Consider the following 22,723-nt stretch of genomic DNA (forward strand, 5'->3'; position numbering starts at 1 on the left):
ACATCATATATTCTCACTTATTTGTGTGACCTAAAAATCAAAACAATTGAACTCATGGACATGGAGAGTAGAAGGACCATTACCGGAGGCTAGGAAAAGGGTAGTGGGAGGGTGAAGGGGAGGTGGAGATGGCTGATGGGCATGATAGTATTTGATAGCACCACAGGATGACTACAGTCAATAACAATTTAATTGTACATTTCAAAATAATTAAAAGAGTATAATTAGATTATTTGTAACACAAAGGATAAATGCTTGAGGGGATGGATACCTTGTTTTCCATGATGTGATTATTATTCATTGCATACCTGTATCAAAATATCTCATGTACTCAATAAATATATACACCAACCATGTACCCACAAAAAATACAAATACAAATTTAAAAAAAGATAGATCAGTGTGATTTCAATCCCTAAAGATATTGACGTTGGGATTCTATCCACAAGTTTTGTCCAGGCAAATAATAGAAGGTGCTTTGACATCTATCAGTTAGGAGCACTTTCAGCTACCAGTAACAGAAATTGCAACTGACAGAAACATAAACTAATTGGGGTTATTTTTCCACCACTAAGACATTCAGAGTTTGTATGGTCTGGCACTGTTAGTGCTGCTTGAAGATGCTCTCAGGGATCCAGGCTTCTCCTGTCTTTGGGCCCTCCATCTCGAGGGTGTTGGTGTTTAGCAACCTTGTGACCTCATGATCTCAAAGTGGCCACCAGTGTTTCATACCATGCTGTGTGCCAGATAGAAAGAAGAAGGAAAGCAGTTTATGCAAACTGCATCTAGCCCTTTTATCAGCAGACTTTAAATACATCTTTTTAGCCACCTCTAGCCAAAATGAGTATTGAGTTTCCAGCTTCTAAGAGGTGAACAATGGAGATGGAGGTTGGAAATACGGGTGGGGTAGGCCAACCAAATGTCTGCCACAGAAACCAAGATGTGACTTGGGATTTCAAGATGTGAAATCTATCCTTTGCCTCTATACTGAAGTCTGGGAAAGCAGGGAATAGGGATGGAATCTGCATTCTCCATATTCTTAGATACACAACTTTTCTTGCTCACTGCAACCCAATATGTCACTGGTCATAGAGAGAGATGTTCACCAAACATCTTTTACTGTTTCCTTCAGCTCCATAGTGAATGTGACACTTCTTTATCCCTTTTCCTCCTCCCCCACCAACCTAAGAAGCTTCATACTTGAAAATCTTTATTAAAGAGCATTATTAATATATTGATAAGTGCATGAGGAAAGTGTGAAAGAATACATACAAACATATACACATGTATAGATAGATAGATAGACAGATAGACAGATTGATAGATAGATATAGACATATAATATGGCACCAGTATTGGTGGGTGTTGCTGGGAGATGAGAGGAATCCTTCACTCTGTGCATATACATTACTACATCACTTGAATTTTTTATACAAGCATATATTACCTTTGTAACCTATAAAAGCAATGAAGATATAAACAGTTAATAAATTTCTCACTAGTTTTTCATGCTTCAGGCAGAATTAACCCAGTTTAATTAATCTTCCTGAAGGTCTTATTTTCTAACCAACTTTGTGGTTTATTCTTGAACCTTCACCAAGTTCTTCAGAAATTCTTTAGTCATGAGAAAGTTGACACAACTTAATCCACTCACAAGTCAGATTCCCAGAATGCTAAAACATTCATACACATTCCTCCATTTTGGAAATTAAATTTAATAGCTTGCCCTCTGAAGAAATGCCTATGTGTCCCAGAACATGCTGACCTTTCACGAATTTTGCTTACATTTTAACTGTCAGGTTACTACAGCTTCTGATTTGTAAAAAGTGATTTTAGTTTAACAGGCTTCAGTATAAAGCTGGTGTTTTCGGCAGGGAAATGTCCTAAATCCTGTTCATCAAGCTGGACATATTTATTTTGATTGATAAGCCTGGTAATTTGTCCTAGAGCTTTTCATTTTGGTGAATTACATAATGGTATACTCACTAGCTTTTATCTTCATGTGATAGAAACAACTGTAAATTTTGCCTAATTCTCTCTTCCTAGGGTCATGTTGTGGCAGGCTTATGGAGTTAGACTGCTGAATTAGGTGAGGTCAGGGAAGGACAATGCCATTGACCACAAAATTGAGTTGTGGTTGATGTATTCACCTGTAAATTCACAAGGGTCACAGGGATCATAACAAAAAAAATGCCATGGTTTTGTTCAGAAGGCTATTCTCAAATTCATCAGGATCCTCTTTTCCTTTACTATTCATGAAAAGATGACTTTAAGATTTCTTGCTTATATGCCTATTAGGATGATGGATAAATATTTATTCATTGATAAGGTGAATACAGGAGAAAATGAATTTTGATGAGGTAGGGAAGTATCTCTCCAACTTGCCAAGAAAAGAAGTTAAACAATTTCTATCTTATACATTCTTTTTGATTCTATGTAGAGATAATATTTTCTTGCATTTTTCACTACAATCTGTAGTCAACTTCTTGTCTTTTTTGCCAAATATTTGATATTTTTATGACAGCCATGTGAAATATGTACATAGAAATATTGCAGTAATACATTTCCAGGCCTGGCATGGGGGCTCATGCCTGAAATCCCAGTACTTTGGGAGGCTGAGGTGGAAGGATTGTTTGAGCCCAGGAATTGAAGACCAGCCTGGGCAAGATAGCAGGATTCTGTTGCTAGAAAAAAAAATTTAAAAACTGCTGGGTGTGGCGGCCTGTAGCCCCAACTACTCAGGAGGCTGAGGTGGGAGGATTGCTTGAGCACAGGAGATGGAGGCTGCAGTGAGCCATGATAGCACCATTGCACTCCACCCTGGGTGACAGGGCAAGACCCTGTCTCAAAATAAATAAATAAATAAATAAACAAAAACAATAAAAATAGTACATTTCCAGAAATTTTAACTCTCCTAAAGTGGTTGCGAAATAAAAATTAGCAAAAATGCTTTCTGAGTGCCCAAAATAAACCTACGTTTCCTGAACAACACCTTTTTGTTCACTCAGAGGCTTTTACTCTGTCTTGGCACTGACTTCTAACAATCTTTGTCAGTAGTGATAATAAAATAATGATGATAAAGATGCTGATGATAGCTATATATCCTAGGTACTGTGATAGGAATGTTACTTTATCTATAATAATCCTGGCAACCATTTTACCTATCCTAAGAGCAGACATTATTTACTCTCATTTTATAGATAAGAAACTGAGACTGAGAAGTTAAGTAATTCACCCAAGCTACTAGGGACAATGTCAGGCTTCAACGGGGATATCTCTCTTATACCACACTGCCTTCCTGAACAGAACTATTTATGTTCCTCAGTGTTGCATCCTTGGCCTTCTGCTTTTCGAACGCAACATTTACTCATAGGATGAGTCATCTCATCCAAATTTATGGATGCAACAGCAATCTGGGAGCTAATGACTCCTAGAATTACCTTCCAGTTCAGCTTTCTTTCCTGAGTTCTAGATCTATGTATCTTACTGCTTCTAGAACATGCCTATTTCAATATGCAACAGTTTCCTCAAAGTCAACATCTCCCAAATTAATGCTTTACCTTTTCTATCACCTCCTCATATCTGTTCTTCCTCTTCTAGCTCTTACCTTACTAATGGGCAATATCATACACCTAATTGCTCAAGCTAAGAGATATCCTTGACAATTCCTTCTCCTTCTACCCTCATATCCAAATGAAAATCGAATCTTATTGATTCTACCTCCTTAACAGTTCTTGAACCTCCAAATCCATTGTCTCCTCTCCTCCTCCATTACCAGTGCCTTTTAACTTCTGATAATATTTTGCCTGGTTTATTGCAACAGAGTCCAAGATTCTACTCCTAATGCCAGTCTGAATTCATTCTGTGCTTTACAAAAATGTGTTTAATTTCTCAGATAAATGTCTCCATCTTTTAAAACCTGAAAGTACTGTAGTACAAGTAAATTTTCTAACTTGACTTTTCAAGTTGAATATAGTAAATATAACTGAACAATTACTAAATGGCTGCTGGTTTTTATAAATGAAATTTTTCAATTCTTTTTTTTTCTCTGTTATTTTTCACCACGTACATGTGGTCAAAGTACCTTAATGTTTTATTTCTCACATTAGCTGGTCTGTTGTCTCACCTGCTTAAAAGCCTATGTTCCCAACAGCTGCCAGAAAGATCTTTTTCTAAAATGTAAATCTGATTCTCTCATGGTCTTGCTTAAAATTTTTCAATGGCTCCTTAGTGCCTCCAAGACAAAAATCTGAAATCTTTGATTGACATAAAAGGAGCAGTCTGAGGCTATTTTAGGGAAAGACAACTGCCCACCAGCCCTACATAATAGCCCAGGAGGACATTACTAGATGATGTTCAAAACAATGACCTAAAAATCATCCAATAAATGTTATTCACTGTATTGAACTTAAGAAGTAGAGAAGATTGCATTTAAAGAGATTTGTTGTAGAAATGTTTCATATATGTGAGTGCCTAAATAAGTAAATGCCAGTAAGTTAGAAAACTATGTCACTGCATTTTCTGATTTTTATGAGATGGAAACGTTTGCATGAAAAATTAAAGGAATTATTAAAAATATGAGATTAGTCTGGAGTGGCATGAGGGGTTGAATGTAAGTCATAAGTGAAATTAAACACTAAGTGACTTAGACCATGCTTACATAATTCAGGAAAAATTGATAAAATTAAGAAACTGAAAATTCCCCAGTCATTCCCTAATCTAGAGGTCACAACTGGAGGCTACAGGTCAGATTTTGCCACAAGGTAGGTTTTATCTCATCTGCACATATTTTTTTTAAAACTTCCACATTTTAACGTCCTCAGCTCTTTCTAAATTTCATCCACCCACTTGTGTCAGTTCCATGAACAGTTATTGGTCCACAAGGTAACTCTGAAAATTGAGCATAAGCTTTTAGAAGCTTTTGTAGCAATTTAGCAATGTAATCACATGTCTATTGAATCCAAATGTAAGAAATTGAGTCATATTTCTTATGTCTTTGGTTTTTTATTGTATTTTTCTTGGTAATTCATTTTTAATATATTTCACAAAAGTATCAGTTCATGCCAATTGGAATTTTTAAAAATTAACCTATGATAACATAGATAGTTTGAAATGTGTTGCTCCGGCTTACCCCAATCCCCACCATTCCCCATTATTATTTTAGGCCAATTTCACTCAAATGCTAGGCCCCTGATGGCTTTTGATTTGAGACTTCCTCACTCATTCAATTACATTCATTTTCAGATGAGGCTGAAGGCCAACAGCAGTTAGGGTATCTTGCCAAAGTCTCAAGGAACCTCACATCTCTACACACATTAACCCAGTAACACCTGCATAGTGACTTAAAATTTCAAAGCCCCTCAAAAGACCTGCAGCAAAACAAATGTCTAATTGAAATGTGTTTTCAGCACTTCATGGCTACACTTAGACAAGCTATCATGTGCTACTTTCAGGCAAATAGTGATACCAGAATTCATGAAGGAGCAAGGAAGCCTAGAGACAACTAGAAGCAAGCTCAAACAATTGGGGGGATGTTGGGCCAGTAAGAATAAGTTCAGAAACATTCAATTATCCCTTTCTTTCTTGATTTATGCATCCTTCAAGTCAATATGATCATCTGTTTCCAGGTGCCAAGCGCTTGGTTCCCTGTTACAGTTTTCTTTACAATTTCAGCTTACTGAAGTGTATCATATCAGAGAATACTCTGATCTTCCAGAGCAATTACCTCACCAGTACCCAAGGCATGTCCCCTTTCTTACCTAGAAGCAAAGCTGGGAGTAGAAACCTCCCCTAATGATTTCCAAGTGTTTCCAGCTGTGTTAAATACAAACTTAATCATTTGGCTTTTCTCCCTTATCTATCATCATCATAATTTTTAAAGACCTCTCCTCCACTCACTGAATTTATCTCCAGCTTATTGCAAGTAATGAGAATTTGGAGTTGAGATTCACAATCGTCCATATGTCAGTTGGAAGAAGAAAATCGAGACTAAGAGAGTGGAAACATAGCTGGAAAATTAATGCTTCAAGCGGAATCCCAGACTTAAACCCATGAATGTTTTGAAGATGGATTATACATTTTAATCATAGACAAAGAGCATTATAGAAAAGTTGGGCTCTTAATTTAAAATGAAGCCGAAAAAGGGTGAGTTTTCAAACATGACACTTCCCAATATGCTAACACATAGGAGCCACATGAAAAATATTTATTTAGTGAATTAATTGATGATGCAAGCAACAATGAAATTGCTGTAAGGCTCACTTGAAAAATCCCTCTTGAGGTGTTTGGGCCTTTTTTTTTTTTTTCTAAACCATCTTTTCCCTCTCAAGCCCAGACTCTGTAAGTGCCCACTCTACTTCTACCATGCCAGACATTTGCTGTCAGTCCACTGTCAGTTCCCAGAGTACCTGCAGTGGAGTACCATAGGTCTGCTGCATTGAGGGTAAATGGGACTCTGTTGTGGCTGGCAGGGAGCCCTGCCTGCGAGCTGACAACTACATGAAATTGACTGACAAGCTCTGCAAGCAGATACAGAGTTAATGAGCAAACATTACCCAACCTTGCAATGTAGAGAAGGGATATGGCTAATTTAAAAATGAACAAACAGAGACTTTCCATATCTGGCTTTAAGTTATTTATGTTCTTCTCCAAATAAAGGTCTGCCTCCAAAGAGACATTGTATATGAAAAGTTAATTTTACTTTCACTGATCACCATGACACCCACACCTTAAACTAATTCCAGACCAGATACATTTAAGAGTTAAAGAAACTAAAAAATTGGTTGAATCAACCCTGGCAATCAAAAGGGTAGCAGATGTTGTGACCAGGCTGCCCTCATCCACTGCCAGAAAATTAAGTCATGATTCTAGACAGATTGCAACATTTTCTACAATGTCCTTAATGGAATCATTCTTAGTTTAATAACTAATACTGCAGAGTTACTCTCAAAAAGGTTATTTTACAGAGAGAATGAAGAGTTCCAATACAGCCTACATATCCTGAAAGACCAGGAATTTTCTGCTGGACCCAAAGAATAAGACCACAGTGTATTCACAGCTACACGTGATTTCTGCAATATGAATATACCTCTGCAGGTTGGTAACAAATAACCACAAGGAAGAAGGCAAAGCATTTGTTTCCAGCTTCTACAAGGTTTTTTTTTTTTATTACAAAGTCACTGGTAAGTGGTGACAAAAGAAAAACTTCAGCTGAATTAAATTTAAGGGAGTTTAATTGAGCAATGAACCATTAGTAAATTGGGCAGCCCCCAGAATCACAGCAGATTCACAGAGACTCCAAGGGTGCCTTGTGCTCAGAAAAAATTTATAGACAAAAAAGGTAAAGTGATGTGCAGGAATCAGAAGTGAAGTACAGAAACAGTGAGATTGGTTACAACTCGGCATTTGCCTTATTTTGCAGGCAGTTTGAACATTCAGCAGTCTATGAGTGGTTGAAGTATGGCTGCTGGGATTGGCTAACATTCAGCTATTGTTACAGGTGCATACTACTAAGTTAGGTTTCCAATTTTGTCTGACTGTTAAGCTAGGTTACAGTTCATCCACAAGGACTCAAGTATAGAAGTATGGAGTCCTTCTCAGGCCACATTTAGTTTGCTTTAACAGTGGTGAGATTTTTACTGAATAACGTTGCTTGCAGCCAGCATGGAATGCCTGATGAAGGCAGTAGGTAGACTCTCCATCGTCCTCACTTTATACAGAATTTAGGAAACTCACCTACACAAGATGCTGCCCAGGGCACTGAGCAACAAAGCAATTCACATTCTCTGGCATCTTCCCCTAACTCCTCCTGGATGAAGCCAGCCTCATCCATGGCTAGGAGTCTTCTGCAAAGTGAGGTGAAGCTTTCGAGATTTCTCCTACAATGTAGTTGCAGATACCTAAAAATCTAAAATTTGTTATTTTGTGTATTGCATGTATATTTCAGAATAATCAGAGGTTTTAAGCCATGACCTACTATAAAAACCAGTAAACAGGAAATAAATAGTCTTCCTTATCAGTTATAACTCAGAGTTCATAAATTACCACATTCTCACCTATTAGTTGGTCTTAATGACCTGAGATGAAGAAAAGACCCTGAGATTACTGGTCACCAAACTGGATATCAGCCACAAAAAGAGGAGGCTGGGATGCCAAAGATAAAACAACCTGCCTGCCTTGGGTTCACTGTGTCTCTAGTAAAGACAAATAGCCTGAATCCCAGTATCCAAGACCTGCTACCATGGATGGCCTGGAACCCTGTGCACAAAAAAACACTTCAAGTAAATGAATTCTTAATTACCAGCTAAGACTACAGCCCCAAACCATTGGGTTATCTTCTATCTTGGGGGACCCAGTGTAGTTCTGAGGCTTCTTATTGGCCCTCCAGGTACACAGTCAGGTCCAAGCTGTATTACCTGGGTTCTAATAAGTTTCCCACTGCAAGAGAGGGAAGGTCCCAAGCCAGGACAGTGTTGCACCATCTGACTGTACCTTGTGGGAAGGAAGAGGGAGAAAAGAGTCAAAAGAGATACTCAGAAACTTGAACAAAAGGGAGACCTGCAGAAGAGACAGTGTTTAATGTCTTGTCTCTTCCTCCCAATAAATGCCTTGCTTGACTCACTTTAGAATTCATACTCCTTGGAGCTGGTGGAGACTGAGGTGAGGGAACCTGGTGGAGAAGCTATGAAAGAGTGGAGACTGGAACCTAGAGCTCACTGTAAAGGTTAGAGTGTGTCAATACCACTTTGAATTATATCTCCATTATAGAAAACACACATAGAAACAGTAGACAGAGCTCTGGTTTACTCTTCTCTCTGCTGCTCCACTTTTACAGATTTGAGAGCAAATATTCCACACTTAGCTTTGCATTGAGCAAAACCAGTGTATTTTCCTCAACAGTGCCAGGGGACAGGGCAGAACTGTTTTAAAACAAACTAAGCATAAAGTTTATTGAATTAGTTTGTTAATTAGTGAAGCATTTCCTAAATAAAGCATAATTTCTTCATCTGTAAAAGAGGGATGAGTTGGAAAAGTTTCTAAGAGCACTTTTTCTTAACTTCCTAATTCATAATTCCCATAATTTATAAATTACCAATTTATTTAATAATTTACATTTTATAATTATATGTAAAATAACTTTAATTTTTTGTTTTTTGAGACAGGGTCTCACTCCCATAGCCCAGGCTGGAGTGCAGTGGCACAATCTCCACTCACTGCAGTCTCAACTTCCCGGACTCAGATGATTCTCCCACCTCAGCCTCCTGAGTAGCTGGGACCATGGGCATGCACCACCATGCCTGGTTAATTTTTTGTATTTAGTATTAATAGCCATTTTGTCTTTAATAGCCATTCCACAATTTATACATTTATAAGTTTCTTAAATGCATAATTCTGCAATATCTTGCATCTAAACTTTGGTTTTAGAACTATAGAAAGATTTATGTGAAGAAAACTTTAGTTTTCTATTACTTTACACATAAATCCTTCCAGGTAGTTCCTGCCTTATCTATCTCTTAACCATAGTTTAATGTCTCTTCTATGATTGGATCTTATTAGAAAAAGGTCTTCAACAAATGCAAAACTTTTAAAAATCATGATATGCTTTCAAAATTTCCATTGAGTATTTGGATGATTATTTTGCAGTCTAAAGCATGAGAAATAGGCAGGCATGGTGGCTCATGCCTGTAATCTCAGCACTTTAGGAGGCCAAGGCAGGCAAATTGCTTGAGCCCAGGAGATCAAGACCACCCTGGACAACATGGCAAAATCCAGTCTCTACTAAATACAAAAAAATTAGCCAGGCATGGTTGCCCATGTCTGTGGTTCCAGCTACTCAGGAGGCTGAGGTGGGAGAATCACCTGAGCCCAGGAAGTCAAGACTGCAACAAGCGGAGATAGTGCCACTGCACTCCAGCCTGGGCAATGGGAGTGACTTTGTCTAAAAAAAAAAAAAAAAACTACAAAAATAAATGAAGCATGAAAAATAGTTACGAGGTCTAAAGAGGAAGACATTGCTCTTGCCTATCAATTTCCTGATCTCTGGACAGCTATATGTAAGCTATTTGTAAAATCTTCCTAAATCTGCCCATGCTTCATGATCCTACAACAGAGGCAGCTTTTAGGGGAACAAGAAGAGCAAGAAATTTTAACACAATTGTTTCACCACTGTTCTCTGAAAAGCTATTTGAAATAATCAGAAAGATTTAAAAAAAAATTGAGCATTGCCACCCTCACATTTTAGGTTGCGTCTACAAGGATTCTTATGCTGTAAAATAAATAATATGTGGATGGGGACAAAGACGGTAGGGCAAGCAGTAGCTATATAAGGACTGCCCCTCTCCTAATGCAATAGCTGTCATGGGAACTCTATGATCATACAGCACAGTTACAGATTAACTGTGTAACAACTCCCAAATGTGAGCTTAGCTCAAATACTGCTGACTTTTAACATCAAACACTCTGCAGTGGGACATTCCCACCTAGATACCCTCATAATCTTAATGTGACATGATCCCATTTTATGGATGGATACATAGAGAGACTGATAGATTTTAAAACCTCTTAAAAATTACACCCTCAGCATGGTATATGTTACATGAATTAAAAGAATACTAAGAAGGTTTTCAATTTTGTAGAAATTTTTGTTATATAAGTGTGATTAGAGGAGGAGGGTTTTTTTCATATATTTTTTGCTCTGCTTTTACATCATTTGTAAATGCTATTGCTTTGGCCAACTTTGTTTTTCTTTTCAGTCATTTGCTTCTTCTCCAGGTTTTGCTTAAATGCGGTGTCTGAATTAGGAAGCTAAAAGCCTCAAAGTGGTGCTGTCCCCAACATAGGGACCAGCAGGTGTTAAAAGGAAGCAGGTCTCTGTGACGCAACTGAATGCTAAATTCATTTGTGATGCAAATTTGACCAAGATTTAAGGTTAGAAAATTATTCTAGTCTTGTTCATGGCAGCAACATAATTTCATATCAGCACACTCACCCTATCACTGCTGGTAGCCTTTAATAACAAGGCATGGGCAATATAATTGTGCAAGGTTTTGGTGATAAGATACTATTATTGAGCATAACACAAATTTTTATCTTTATGACCCAGAATTACTTCCATTAAAGGAGTACTTTCGTCAAATGTTGAAAAATTCAGTCACAACATTGGCTGGTTATTACACAATTAATGTGGCAATGTGAACAGAACATTGTCCTGAACTCTTTCCTTCTATTTATATTTAATTAATACTTATTGAATGCCTAGCATGTACCAGTGACAATGTTAAACACTTAACATGCAGCCTTTTTTAAAATTCTCACATCAACCCTATGATGTCAGTAGTGTTATCATCTTATTTTACAGATAAGGAAACTGAGGTCCAAGGTTATACAGCAACAAAGTAGTGGTTCCAGGATTCTGCCTCCCCTGTTTAGTTTCTCGCTGTTCTAATCTGCTTCCCAATATCCCTCACTGTTTCCCAAAGGAGAGTTTTGTGCAGTGTCAGGAACTGAGCTTTGGATGGGCCATTTTATCCCATTTTAGCTATAACTATAAAAGGATTTGTTCACCTCCAGCTGTTCACATTTCTTGTGACCTGAGAAAATTGGGATGTTCCAGATACAACAGTAAACTTGGGCTACTCCATCAAGAGCCTAGCAGTCTAAGTTATTCCTGCTGTGGAAAAATAGGAAGATTTTTGTGAAGCTTAATCTTCAGGGCCCTTTACTTTCTTGACCCTGGGAGGTCTCAGGGAGATGTTCATGTGATGATTTGCAAATTTTCAAATTAATTTATTTTAACTGCAAACAATTAAGACTATCATCCCTTTCCACTCCAACTTCCTCTCCATCATACTTTCCTATGTATTTGGTGATACGGAAGCGGCTATGGGCATTTTGAGATCCAGCTGAGGAAAAGTTGAGATGTAAATTCACTTAACATGGGTTTACTGTGGCTTCCAGAGACTTCTGTATATACATATGTTTTTGTGCATTGCTAATGATCCTGGTGCAGGAATGGCTGCCAGGAATGACAGAATGATGGTTCATCTGCAGGAAAGTACAAATCCAAAGGTTTTATTTTGGTTTAAGTATAAGAGTAGTGGAGAAATTAGGTTTGAAAATTCAGAGCTAGAAACTAGTCAATGGAAAAATTTCTAATTATCAGACATGTAGAATTGTAATAAGAAGAACTAATTCTCATCAATGACTAATCAAAGCTGAAGTGTTCTGTCATAAACATACTCAATAATACAGCATATACAATTATAAATGAACATTTTTATGGACTAGGGCAAAAAAGAATTCATGAAAATCTCTGTATTTTTAAGGTGCAAACTTGAAGCAGTACTACAAAAAATACATATAACTGTATGTGAAGTAATAGGTTTTTATAAATTCCAATGTATTAGGTCAAATCCTCCACGATGCACTGTCCTGATGAAAACCAGAGGTTCCAGATGAAATGACAAGAAAAACCGCTACTAATACAACAAAAACACCCTGAAGAGACAAGTGTTTCTATGACCAATTTCCTACACATAATTTGTTCAATACATGTTGATATGGGAGGGGGGCAGGGAAGTGCTGGGTAGAGAAGGGCGGGTCCTTGGCTAGGACTCCACCCCCGGGCCTGTACCCACGGACTTAGGTGAGGACAGGCATTTCTGTTTTCGTGCTCAAATGTTGCATTTTCCAAGACCACCCTGGCCTGCCACGTCCCCATTCTGTGCCTATAAAACCCCTGAGACCCTAGCAGGCAGAGTCACAAGCAGCTGGACATCGAGAGGAACACACCAGTGAAAGAGCACACTGACAGGCACCGGCAGATGCCAGGAGGCCACTGACCAGCGGAATGATACAGAATTTGGCTCGGGATGGTCAGAGGAGAACGTGGCTGCTGGGTGGCCTGACTCCAGGGGAAAGCCACCTTCCCACTCCATCCCGCTTCTGGCCTCCCCATCCACCTCGCCAAGAGCTACTACCACTCAATAAAAACCCTTGTACTCACTCTCCAAGCCCATGTGTGATCTGATTTTTCCAGTACACTAAGGCAAGAACCCAGGATATGTAAAGCCCTCTGTCCTTGTGGTAAGGCAGAGGGTCTAATTGAGCTGACAAACACAAGCCACCTACAGACAGCTAAACTGAAAAAGCACACTGTAACACACACCCACTGGGGCCTCAGGAGCTGTAAACACTCAACCTCAGACACTGCTGTACGGTCAGATCCCCACCACCTGCTCTTCTGCACATGCCCCGCTAGAAGTTTGAGCAGCGGGGCACCGAAGAAGCAAGCCACAGCCCCATCGCACACTCTGTGAGGGGGATAAGGGAACTTTTCCCGTTTCAATGTTATGTACTTAGGTAGCCCATTACGTTGTATGTAATGAACAATTCTAAAATATGTTTTTCCCCTCTTTTGTATTTTTTAGCTTCAAATTACTTTTATTTTTTTCTCAAAATTATTGAGCATTCCAAAATTCAAATCCATCAGAAATAAAGTAACCTGATAGAAGTCAAAAACATAAACGAAAAGAAAATATTTGTGATATTCATTAGCTGTTTTTATTGTAGTTTGTTGTAATTTCTTTTATCATTCTAAATAAATATTTGTTTTCAGATTTAATTTTCTACTTGTAATGTTATATTCTTTTTCTTTTAGAGGGTCCTGCCAAATTAAGTTTTAGGCCACACAAAACCTGGATCTGCCATTGAATGAAACCAACTCCCAAAACAACCTCCTACTGGAACCTAAAATGATGCTTCCAAGATATATCAAAACAAAATTGGGGCTAAATGGCCTCCTTTTGGTTTTGCCTTCTATAAAGGATGTATCAAAGTTATGATTCTTCTTCTTCAATATCTTGGGGAGTATTTAGTGAAATATTTCCTTCTGTTTTTATTTATAACTTCTCTCTGTTTACCCCAAACGTCCCCATCTTGTATTCAGACACATTGAACCAATTACAATATTGTACTCAAAATTGCTCCTCCCTTTGGCCAGTTATTTAGTTTTGTGAATCTGATTCTCTCTTCCGTTAGGATAGAATATGGGTGATATTCAGCTAGTATGAACCATTATGATCATGCAGTTGATTAACTATAGAAACAATCTTAGTGGATTGCAAATAGCTGCTGTCCTAACACCTTGAGTGGCTCCTCCCACCTCTCCAGTCAATCTGGCCCTTCTTTTTATAAATGTATGCATTCCCCTAACCTCTGACCTCAAAACCTTTCTGGTAATGTTTTACTCAGCTAGTCAGCTTTTGCTTTACAAAATTTTGTATTGGCATTGCTGGAAATTCTCATGGAATCCTTAGTCTTTTCTAGAAATCTGACTCACTTTATTTTCCTCTAAGATAATTTATTTTTTCTGCCTATATAACTAGCATATATTGTCCTTGCCCTTGTTCTTCACAATTTGTAATAAAGCACTTTTCCATTCCATCTGAGACCCAAAGTGTTCTTCCCCAAGATCTATATTATATGGCCATATTCTAATCTTACAATCATCTTTCTTCTGGAAAGACTATGGTTCTGATTTATAGAATTAACTAATTTGCTCATGTCTCTTTACCTTCTTTCCTGACTAACTATCCTGAAACACATTTGCCAATTGGCTATCCACCAACATTTAAACCTCCCCTGGCAGAGAATTGTATTATTGCTGGGCAATATTTCCCATCCCTTTTTGCATCTCAGTGAGGCTGTATGGTTACTTCTTGTCAATGTAATATCAACAGGAGTGGTAAGTATGACTTCTGGGACAACTGGCATAAGGTACACCTTCTCCATGATCTTTTACCTCCTTTCACTAGCTGAATCAGAAAACTCTGAGGTCCTTACTGACCTCTTACTGATGGTAGAGTCACCCCATGGAAGGAGCCTTGCTCTCTGAACCATTACGTAGAGGAAAAACTCATGCCTACCTGAAATACCTGCAATGGATTGTTACAAGGAGGAAAAGTAAATTTCTATTGTGTTAAGCCCTGAAATGTAAGAGTTTACTTGTAATAGCTACTAACTTTATCTAAATTCATTGTTGAGGCTTTTCTAACTTTTACCTTTTGTTCTAGCCAATATTTGGGCAGGTTTCATTAACAGTCGTGTGTCATGGATGCTGGACATAATTACCTCAACAGCCTTACATCTAGTCCTAGACAATTTTCATCTCTTATTTGGAGACCTTTATTCTATTTTATCTTATTTCAAGCTATATTTCCAATGTCAGATTATTTTAAGGATAGAAGGACTTGACATTTCAAATATCGATGACCAATCAAGTCCTTTCTGCTTTTAATTTTTTATTTCGTCACCTGTTTCACTTATTCTTCAAGGGATGGCTGCCATCAATGATCCCATACCAGGAGAGTGATTTTTTTACCATATTAAAACACCTTCAAACCACAGTAGTAACAACAGACTTAATTTTCATTAAGAGCCAAAGAGAGTCTCTCCCTTGCCTTTAGTAATTTGAATATTTGGCAGTAACTCAGCTGTTTAGATATTCAGCATAGCCCTTTTTCTTCTAATGGTTATAGGAAGCTATGATTAATGCCCCAAAGGTATTAACACTACACTTTTTCCTTTCTGCAAACCAGTCCAATCCAGATATGTGAGACAGAAGAGGACTGCCTGGACAGGTTAATCACCAAAAAGATTACCTTCACCTACATAAGTCATAGAGCAAAGTGTAATACTGGCTTCATCTCTCAGGCATGGCCATGTTCCAATACCTTACTCTTGGAAATCTGGCCTCACCATTTGATATCAAACTTGGTGTACAGGTGGTGCTAATGGAATTTTCCTATCAGCCAACTGTGCCTTTAAGGGAGACAGGATTGATGTGAGATCTTACAAGCTTTCATTATCATCCAGTGCTTGTGTCACATAGCTGCCCTTCCCTACTTCTCAGCCCTCCAAAAGGCACAATGTCTTCCATCAGGCAAAAGTGACACCACAACATTCATTATAGGAAGTAAGAGACATTCATCACTGGAATATTTTAGCAAATGAATCACAACAGACTGATAGCATAACTCATGTTCTAAGGCCAAGAACAAGAATTGCATAGTTTATTTTAAGACAGCAGAAGAGTAAAAAACAGATTGAAAAACATATGATACCCTCTCCAGCTCAGAGCTCTACAAACAGCAGTGGCGTTTGCAAAGTTCTATGTATCTTCTCAAATGTGGTTTCAGTTTTAATGTGTGTTGACATCTTTGTGTGCAGAACTAACTGGAGGAACAACAGTTTGTGCTTTTTTTCCCTTCTTGCTACAAGGGTGAGAACAGGGAAAGAACCAAACGATCTGTGTTTACTTTGAGCAGCCATACACCATGCATGGACACTAAGGTATGGTTTTCCTTCAATTATTCCAAATTAGTATAATGAAAACATGCTTATCCCTCGAGCCATTAGATGCGTATAATGCAGAAGAGATGCAGTAATGGAGTTGCCTTATATGCTCCTCTGAAGCAGAAGCAAGTGAAAGAGACAAGTAAGATGATTAGAAAAACTTTGACTTTCTAAAACAAATAAGCAGTAAATGAACTGATTGAGTGCAAAACTTCACAGAACCACACAAAGAACTGGAGCTTCAAACTGTAACTTTAAAAATAGTAGGGTGAAAAATTAAGGGGCTCTAACATGAAACAAATTTAGGAAGAAAGAGAAAGCAACAGCATGCCAAGAACTATACTGATTAGGAAGTAGGCAATTTAATTTCTTCAGGAGAGTAAATCTCCAACATGAATTAATTTGCTTCACGCTGAGTCCTGCTGGTTTTTCTTCTTCCCTCAATCACTGTTTATTTCACAAAATCAGCACTCACCTATCTTCTTTGATTATTTAATTTCAGGAGGATTTTCCTTTCACAAAACAGTTAGCACAGTTAAACCCGGCTCTCCATGTAATGTGTAAACATATTACAATGCCCTCCCTAAGTGTGAGGATTATTTATTTCCTCTTGGAGACAACATTGTTTCAATGCTCTACTTCCCCTCCAGTACAATCTCTCAGTGACAATCCTGAATCTACTTCCCACTGTGTGCATCTTTCATTGACATTTACCAAATGCACAGGCTCTGATACAAAATCAGGAATGCAGTATTCAAACCATGACATAAACTCCTATTTTTAAAGGAGAGGTGGGTCATGGGCTATGGCTGATGGAACTAGTAAATAATGCACAAAATGGCATTTTAAAATGAAAACTGGTATGGATTTCTTCATTACTAACATCTCTATGGATGTCTAAGCTCTTCTGAGTTTTCATTGTATGCATATGGGTCAGCATAAAAATGAAGGTTTATTAGGATTCAAGGCCATGACATTTTAAAAAATGAGGCTGGTATCTCAATGGATATCTCTGGGCAGAATATTTAAATAAAGATAATTTGAAATGTGGTACAAACATTTTGAAATAAACAACTAAAGATCCTCTAAAAACGGCCACATTGTTTTTCGCTTTGCTTCAAGGACAAGCATGATGCATATAACCTTTTCCTTTTATCTTTCTTTCAGCTTCTTACTGCTTCTGATTAGTGACCTCAATTGAGACTCATTGCTCATTGCAAAGACTGCTAATGGATTGTTTGAGCCTGAATGTGTTAGGATGGAATATTTCTTCTTCTCAGATTCAAGGCCAGTTTTTTTCCACCCCAAGTCCATTCTACCCAGAGTTCTAGATGATGATGGTCAGGTTATTCAAGATAATGATTATGTTTTCTAGATGATTTAAAATGAAGTTCAACTTTTATTATCTTCCCTATAATGATATTTGTAGTCTTTATGTTCAATAACAAGCTGTCAGGCTGCCTCAGTTTAAGCCAAGGCATTTTCTTATCAAAACCCATCACAGAAAAAGATACAATCATGAAACCACAGATTCTTGTAGCTCTTCACAGTAAACTTTAACTATGAATAACCTCTTGGATTATTAGCCGATTGTGATTACATTTATATTATTTGCTCACATGCTTTGTCACTTTAGAGCCCTGAAAACCCTGTTCATTGTTGCTAGGAGATGGGTGGCTATGGCAACAGTGTGGGTCAGAGCCAGATGGAATGCCTAAAGCATAATCAGGTTTAGGCTTTTTTTTGATCTCCAAATGACTCCATGGCAGTCCTGAGCACGGAAGCCCCAAATCACTGCCTCTTCAGCTTGTTTCAAAAGGTATGCCACATGGTTTCTCCTCACACATCAGCTCTCCCCATTAACAAGTGTCTTTCTGGTGCTTAACTAGACACCAAGAGTTGTCTGAAAAAGAAAAAAGCTGGATAACAAGGGGGATTATCACTATTTAACTGTGTTTTCATACTGTTATTAATTTAGTTCAGATCTAGTGCCATATGCTTCTCTTCATCATTCCACTGAACTCCTAGTGACTTTCATGGAAGTTCCACACAAAGAATGAGGGCGACATATGGTTCTAATAGTGGTTTGTTCATTCCTCTAAGATTGATGGGTATTTTAAAGACATTAATCATTATATTTAAGACACCCTTTAATTTCTTCAGAAGGCCGGATCTTCACTGATTTATAGGAGTCCTTACCACACAGCCATACCTATTTTGCTTTTCTTTTAAAACTTGGCATCAAGAGAAAAATATTGACATGTTCCTCTTATAATAAAGTAAAAATGTAACAAATTAAAGTTATAAATAATGGTAGGAATTTATCTATTATTCTAAAAATAACTTGTTTATTGGACCACAAAAGTCCTAAGCAATTTATTCATCATTTTCATTGTGTCTTTCTTCCTCAAGAAATTCCCCCTCTTACCTACAACAAATCCACACTCTGGGCCTCGTCTTCTTCCACCTGGACCCCATCAATCCAGCCAGCATAATTTATTCCCCTATACAAATCTTTCCTCTGATCAGATCAGAAGAATTATCTCATTACCTCTCCCTTCCTAGTCTCACCCCTTGCAACTATTCCCTCACACAGATTATCTCTATTTCTGTATCTTTGCTCCTGCCATGTCCTAAAATGCCTTTTTCCATCTTGAATACTCATATTTGTTCAAATATTTATCAGGTACCCTCTAGGTACCTGGCCCCTGTGCTAGGTGCTAGTATCTAAAAAGAGCATAATGAGAGCTCCACACTATCTAACAAGGGTAACGGGATTCATAAAATTTAACAATGGATGTTGTTTTTGAAGTCACTTCTTTACTACATGCAAGACTCATTTAGACACTATTCCTTATTTAGTGCTCATAATAACCCTATGTCGTTATTATCATTCACAACCAACAGATGAAGGTACTCAGGCTCAAGAGTGTAAAGGATTTGCCCAAGGTCAAAGGGCCCAGTAGCAGCAAAATGAGATTGGAACCGAGGTCTGTCTTACTTCAAAAATGATACCAATTACTCCATTGTTGATGAGATATTTCAATAATGTAAATGTGTATTATTCCAGGCTAGAAGCCACTAAGGGAGACAGTGATCAGCTCCATTTGGGAGGGTCAGGGAGGAGTTCCTAGGGACAAGGATGAAGTTAACTTATAAATAAGGAGTTTGACAGTGAACATAGTAGAAAAAGGACGTTTTAGGACAGGAGATAAATGATAAACTTAGAACTTAAAGCCCTTTTTAGCTTCTTTTGATATCAATCCTCTCCGTTCTCCCATTTTCCTTTCTCAAAGTGCAAGTCAATACCTACCACTTCCATAATGCTGCTAATCTGCGTGTTAACCCTTGTTCATCTCTTTCTCTTCTAAACCCTGATGCCACTTGTTTTGCAGCAGCTCCTTACACCTTTATCAGATACTGTCTTGTGCTGCTCTCAGTTTTCCGGACCATACAAACGTGGAGGGCAACGGTCACACCTTTGATCTATTTTGTATCTTCCAAAGCTGTGTCAGAAACATAGTAGATGATCCATGCATGCCACTTCTTGGCCATAACTCTTCACATCTGTGTTTGGCTTTATAGTTTGTAAATTCTTTCATTTATGTAGTCTTCTTAGATCCTCAAGATAACTCAGTGAAGTATGCTTGCTTGCTGTTTTTAATCTCAACTTAACAGATTTAAGGAAATGGTAATTGAATAGGTAATTGCAAAACCCAGGGTCACCCAGGTGATAAATGATACATCCAGGAAAAGAATGTGTTCTCTCCCCTATGCAAATGATTGATAGGTGGATTGACTTCCATGCTTTAGCAGATGTGTCAAATTTCACATCCGCATTAACACTTCTAATCCTGTAACGTAATTCTGTCTTTTTATAGATGTCAAACTGGTTTTATCTCAGAAAAGGGAACTGCAAAATACTTTACTTATGCTATCAAACCATTTTGATAGTTGAACCTTGAGCAAAAAAACAGATTTTTGAAATTGTGTGTAGAGTAGCATAGTGGCTAGTCTCATTCACATGAGATTCCTGGAAGAACCAGATTAACAAGCTTCGTACTGACTGTAAACAGCAGGTGAGTATTTCTCAGCCATCTGCTGACTTATCCAGTTGAGAGCCCTTGAGAAAGTCACTAACATGATCATGAATGGCATGAATGGTCCTGTGCATTAATCAAAGACTGCAGAGAAGTAACCAAATTAGGCTCTCCCTACTGAAAGCTGGGTGCACTGCCAAAGCCCAGAGGGAGGGTACAATATAGGATAAAATGTCTCCTTTATTCAATGCAAAACTTGCTTTTCCTAAAACGAAAATGACTCTCAGCTAGTGGCCCTAAGACTATCCACTAGCTGTAGTGTGTGTTCACAAACACACTTCCTGAGTGAAGGCAGGAGTCCTAAGTAAGACCTTTACAGGGTCTTCTTGGCAAAACACTGTTTTATACCATTAGAAGTGAAACCTGAAATTTCCTTGACATCTTTAAATAGTAAGCCAGCAGGTAAACATGTTATAAAGCATTCCCTGAGTCTCAGAGGGCTTCTTGGATCTTCCATCTAGCCTTCTCTTCTGCCCCTGACCCAGAGACAATTCTCCAACACTGACCACTGGGACAGAATTCAAAGGAGGTATATAAGTTCCACTTACTGGTGATTTTGTTTAGCAGTGTGTCTGCATTTAACACTTTCTGCCCCCATTCCCTTCCTTCTCTGTTCACATTATTCTGCACCTGCTGTTCTATCTAGCCAATATATCAATTTCAGAGGAGGAATTTGTTGTGGACATTCTTTTTTTTTTTTTTTTTAGACTGAGTCTCACACTGTCACCCGGGCTGGAGTGCAGTAGTGTGATCTTGGTTCACTGCAACCACCGCCTCCCAGGTTCAAGCAATTCTTCTGCCTCAGCTTCCTGAGTAGCTGGGATTACAGGAGCCAGCCACCACACCCAGGTAATTTTTTGTATTTTTAGTAGAGATGGGGTTTCACTATGTTGACCAGGCTGGTCTCGAACTCCTGACCTCGTGATTCACCTGCTTCGGCCTCCCAAAGTGCTGGGATTACAGGCGTGAGCCACCATGCCCAGCCCAGGCCTTTTGTTTTAATCTCCCTACAGCCCCCTCTCCAGAATCTTGGTGCACTACTTTATGTATAATATATGTTTATAATATTACATAAATAATATTCACTAAAGGTAAGACTGTATTTAATTGAGGGGAAAGAAAAATAAAATTAATTAAAATTGGTTTTTAAAAGTATGAAAAATATCCAAACTCACTAGTAGACGACAAAAAAAGTCGTCTTCTTTTATAGTAGACAAAAAAGTTATATACAACTTTTCCCCTACATACTTGGCAAAGATTTTTAAATTTCTTTTTTCCTTCTTTTTAAATTTATTTTTTATTTTGTAATGTGACTTCTCAGTAGTACATGCAAGAGTACCATGACCCAGGACTGCAAAAGTCACTTTATAAGTAAATTGCCAGAAGTTATTCAATCTTGATCAAATTCTTAACGGCATGCTCTTCTTGGTTTCATCACCAGATACCTGCCCCAGAAATCTCACATCTTATCCTGGACTTTGTCACAACAGCTTTCTAATTTTCACCTGTTCCAGTCTCTTTTGATTCTGGTGGTGATTTATTCCTCTCTACTGGAGTTCTCAGCCATCTAGTCCATACAAACTGCACCAAAACACAAGAGAGATCAGAGCCCCGCTTTGTACATGGCCCGCTCCCCCGTCCATTCCAGTTTCCTGCCCTCTACTGGCCATGACGGTCATCACAGTGCCCTCCTCATTCCTAACTTTTAAATACACTTGAGACCGCCTGATTAATCTTGCACTAAGAAAAACAAAACAAAACAAACAAAAAACAAAAACAAAACACTCACATACAATGTTTTTAATGCTTGAAAAGTACCGGAACAATTATTTTTTCAACCAATGTAACCCAGGTGTGGGATATTTTGGGGATGGGGGTGGCAGGGAGAGGAGGGGTGAAAATCCTCCTGTATCCGCAAATAAGTTATTGGCAGAAAGGCATTAACGTGACTTACAAAGACTTCAATTAGTTCTCAAAATACCTCTTTCTTACACTGCCTTCTCTGCAATTTTTTTTCAATGAAGAATACATTGTGTTCTTCCTTGGAAGGCCACGGAAGCAAGAAATGAGATGAAAGCCGCACACGTAGTGTGCATCCATGTTACCTTGGAAATTATTGAATGTGCTTCTCCCCGAGTTTCCTTTCCTTTGAGTTTCAAGTTGTTATAAATGTTACTTTCCATAGACTACTAAGGATCTCTTTAAAGTGACCTGTCCATTTTCAAATCATCAAACCTATTTTTTAAAGATGGCAGGAATATTTTGTCACA

At 38.1% G+C, this 22,723-nt stretch overlaps 2 long non-coding RNA genes across 7 annotated transcripts in view, besides 3 other annotated features; one reads left to right on the forward strand and one right to left on the reverse strand.

The window, feature by feature from the left end:
* The window catches only part of LINC00491 (long intergenic non-protein coding RNA 491), a 62,973-nt gene that overhangs the window by 39,813 nt on the left and 437 nt on the right, over positions 1–22,723 (reverse strand). The window lies entirely within an intron of this gene.
* Positions 12,837–13,337: an enhancer, noted in NCBI's record as "H3K4me1 hESC enhancer chr5:101996845-101997345 (GRCh37/hg19 assembly coordinates)". NCBI's record gives its function as "activates a minimal SCP1, AML or CMV promoter by ChIP-STARR-seq in naive H9 embryonic stem cells {active_cell/tissue: H9 hESC(naive)}" and the evidence as "EXISTENCE:reporter gene assay evidence [ECO:0000049][PMID:30033119]".
* Positions 15,065–19,895: an enhancer, noted in NCBI's record as "VISTA enhancer hs1649". NCBI's record gives its function as "enhancer in: neural tube[7/9] | hindbrain (rhombencephalon)[8/9] | midbrain (mesencephalon)[8/9] | forebrain[8/9] | limb[6/9] | nose[7/9] | facial mesenchyme[7/9] | other[9/9]" and the evidence as "EXISTENCE:transgenic organism evidence [ECO:0001131][PMID:17130149]".
* Positions 15,843–22,723, forward strand: part of LOC105379104 (uncharacterized) — a 62,441-nt gene continuing 55,560 nt past the window's right edge. For 2 of the 3 annotated variants that reach the window (XR_948631.4, XR_948632.4), the window contains exons 1-2: positions 15,843–16,350; positions 17,521–18,172. This is a non-coding gene — a long non-coding RNA (uncharacterized LOC105379104). Of the gene's footprint in view, positions 16,351–17,520; positions 18,173–21,160; positions 21,303–21,894; positions 22,237–22,723 lie in introns of those variants that run through there. The other variant, XR_948630.4, reaches the window with a different exon arrangement.
* Positions 22,037–22,136: a silencer, noted in NCBI's record as "silent region_16207". NCBI's record gives its function as "represses an Ori minimal core promoter by ATAC-STARR-seq in GM12878 lymphoblastoid cells {active_cell/tissue: GM12878}" and the evidence as "EXISTENCE:reporter gene assay evidence [ECO:0000049][PMID:35858748]".

Source organism: Homo sapiens, chromosome 5 (assembly GCF_000001405.40).
Source record: "Homo sapiens chromosome 5, GRCh38.p14 Primary Assembly".
NCBI lineage: Eukaryota > Metazoa > Chordata > Mammalia > Primates > Hominidae > Homo > Homo sapiens.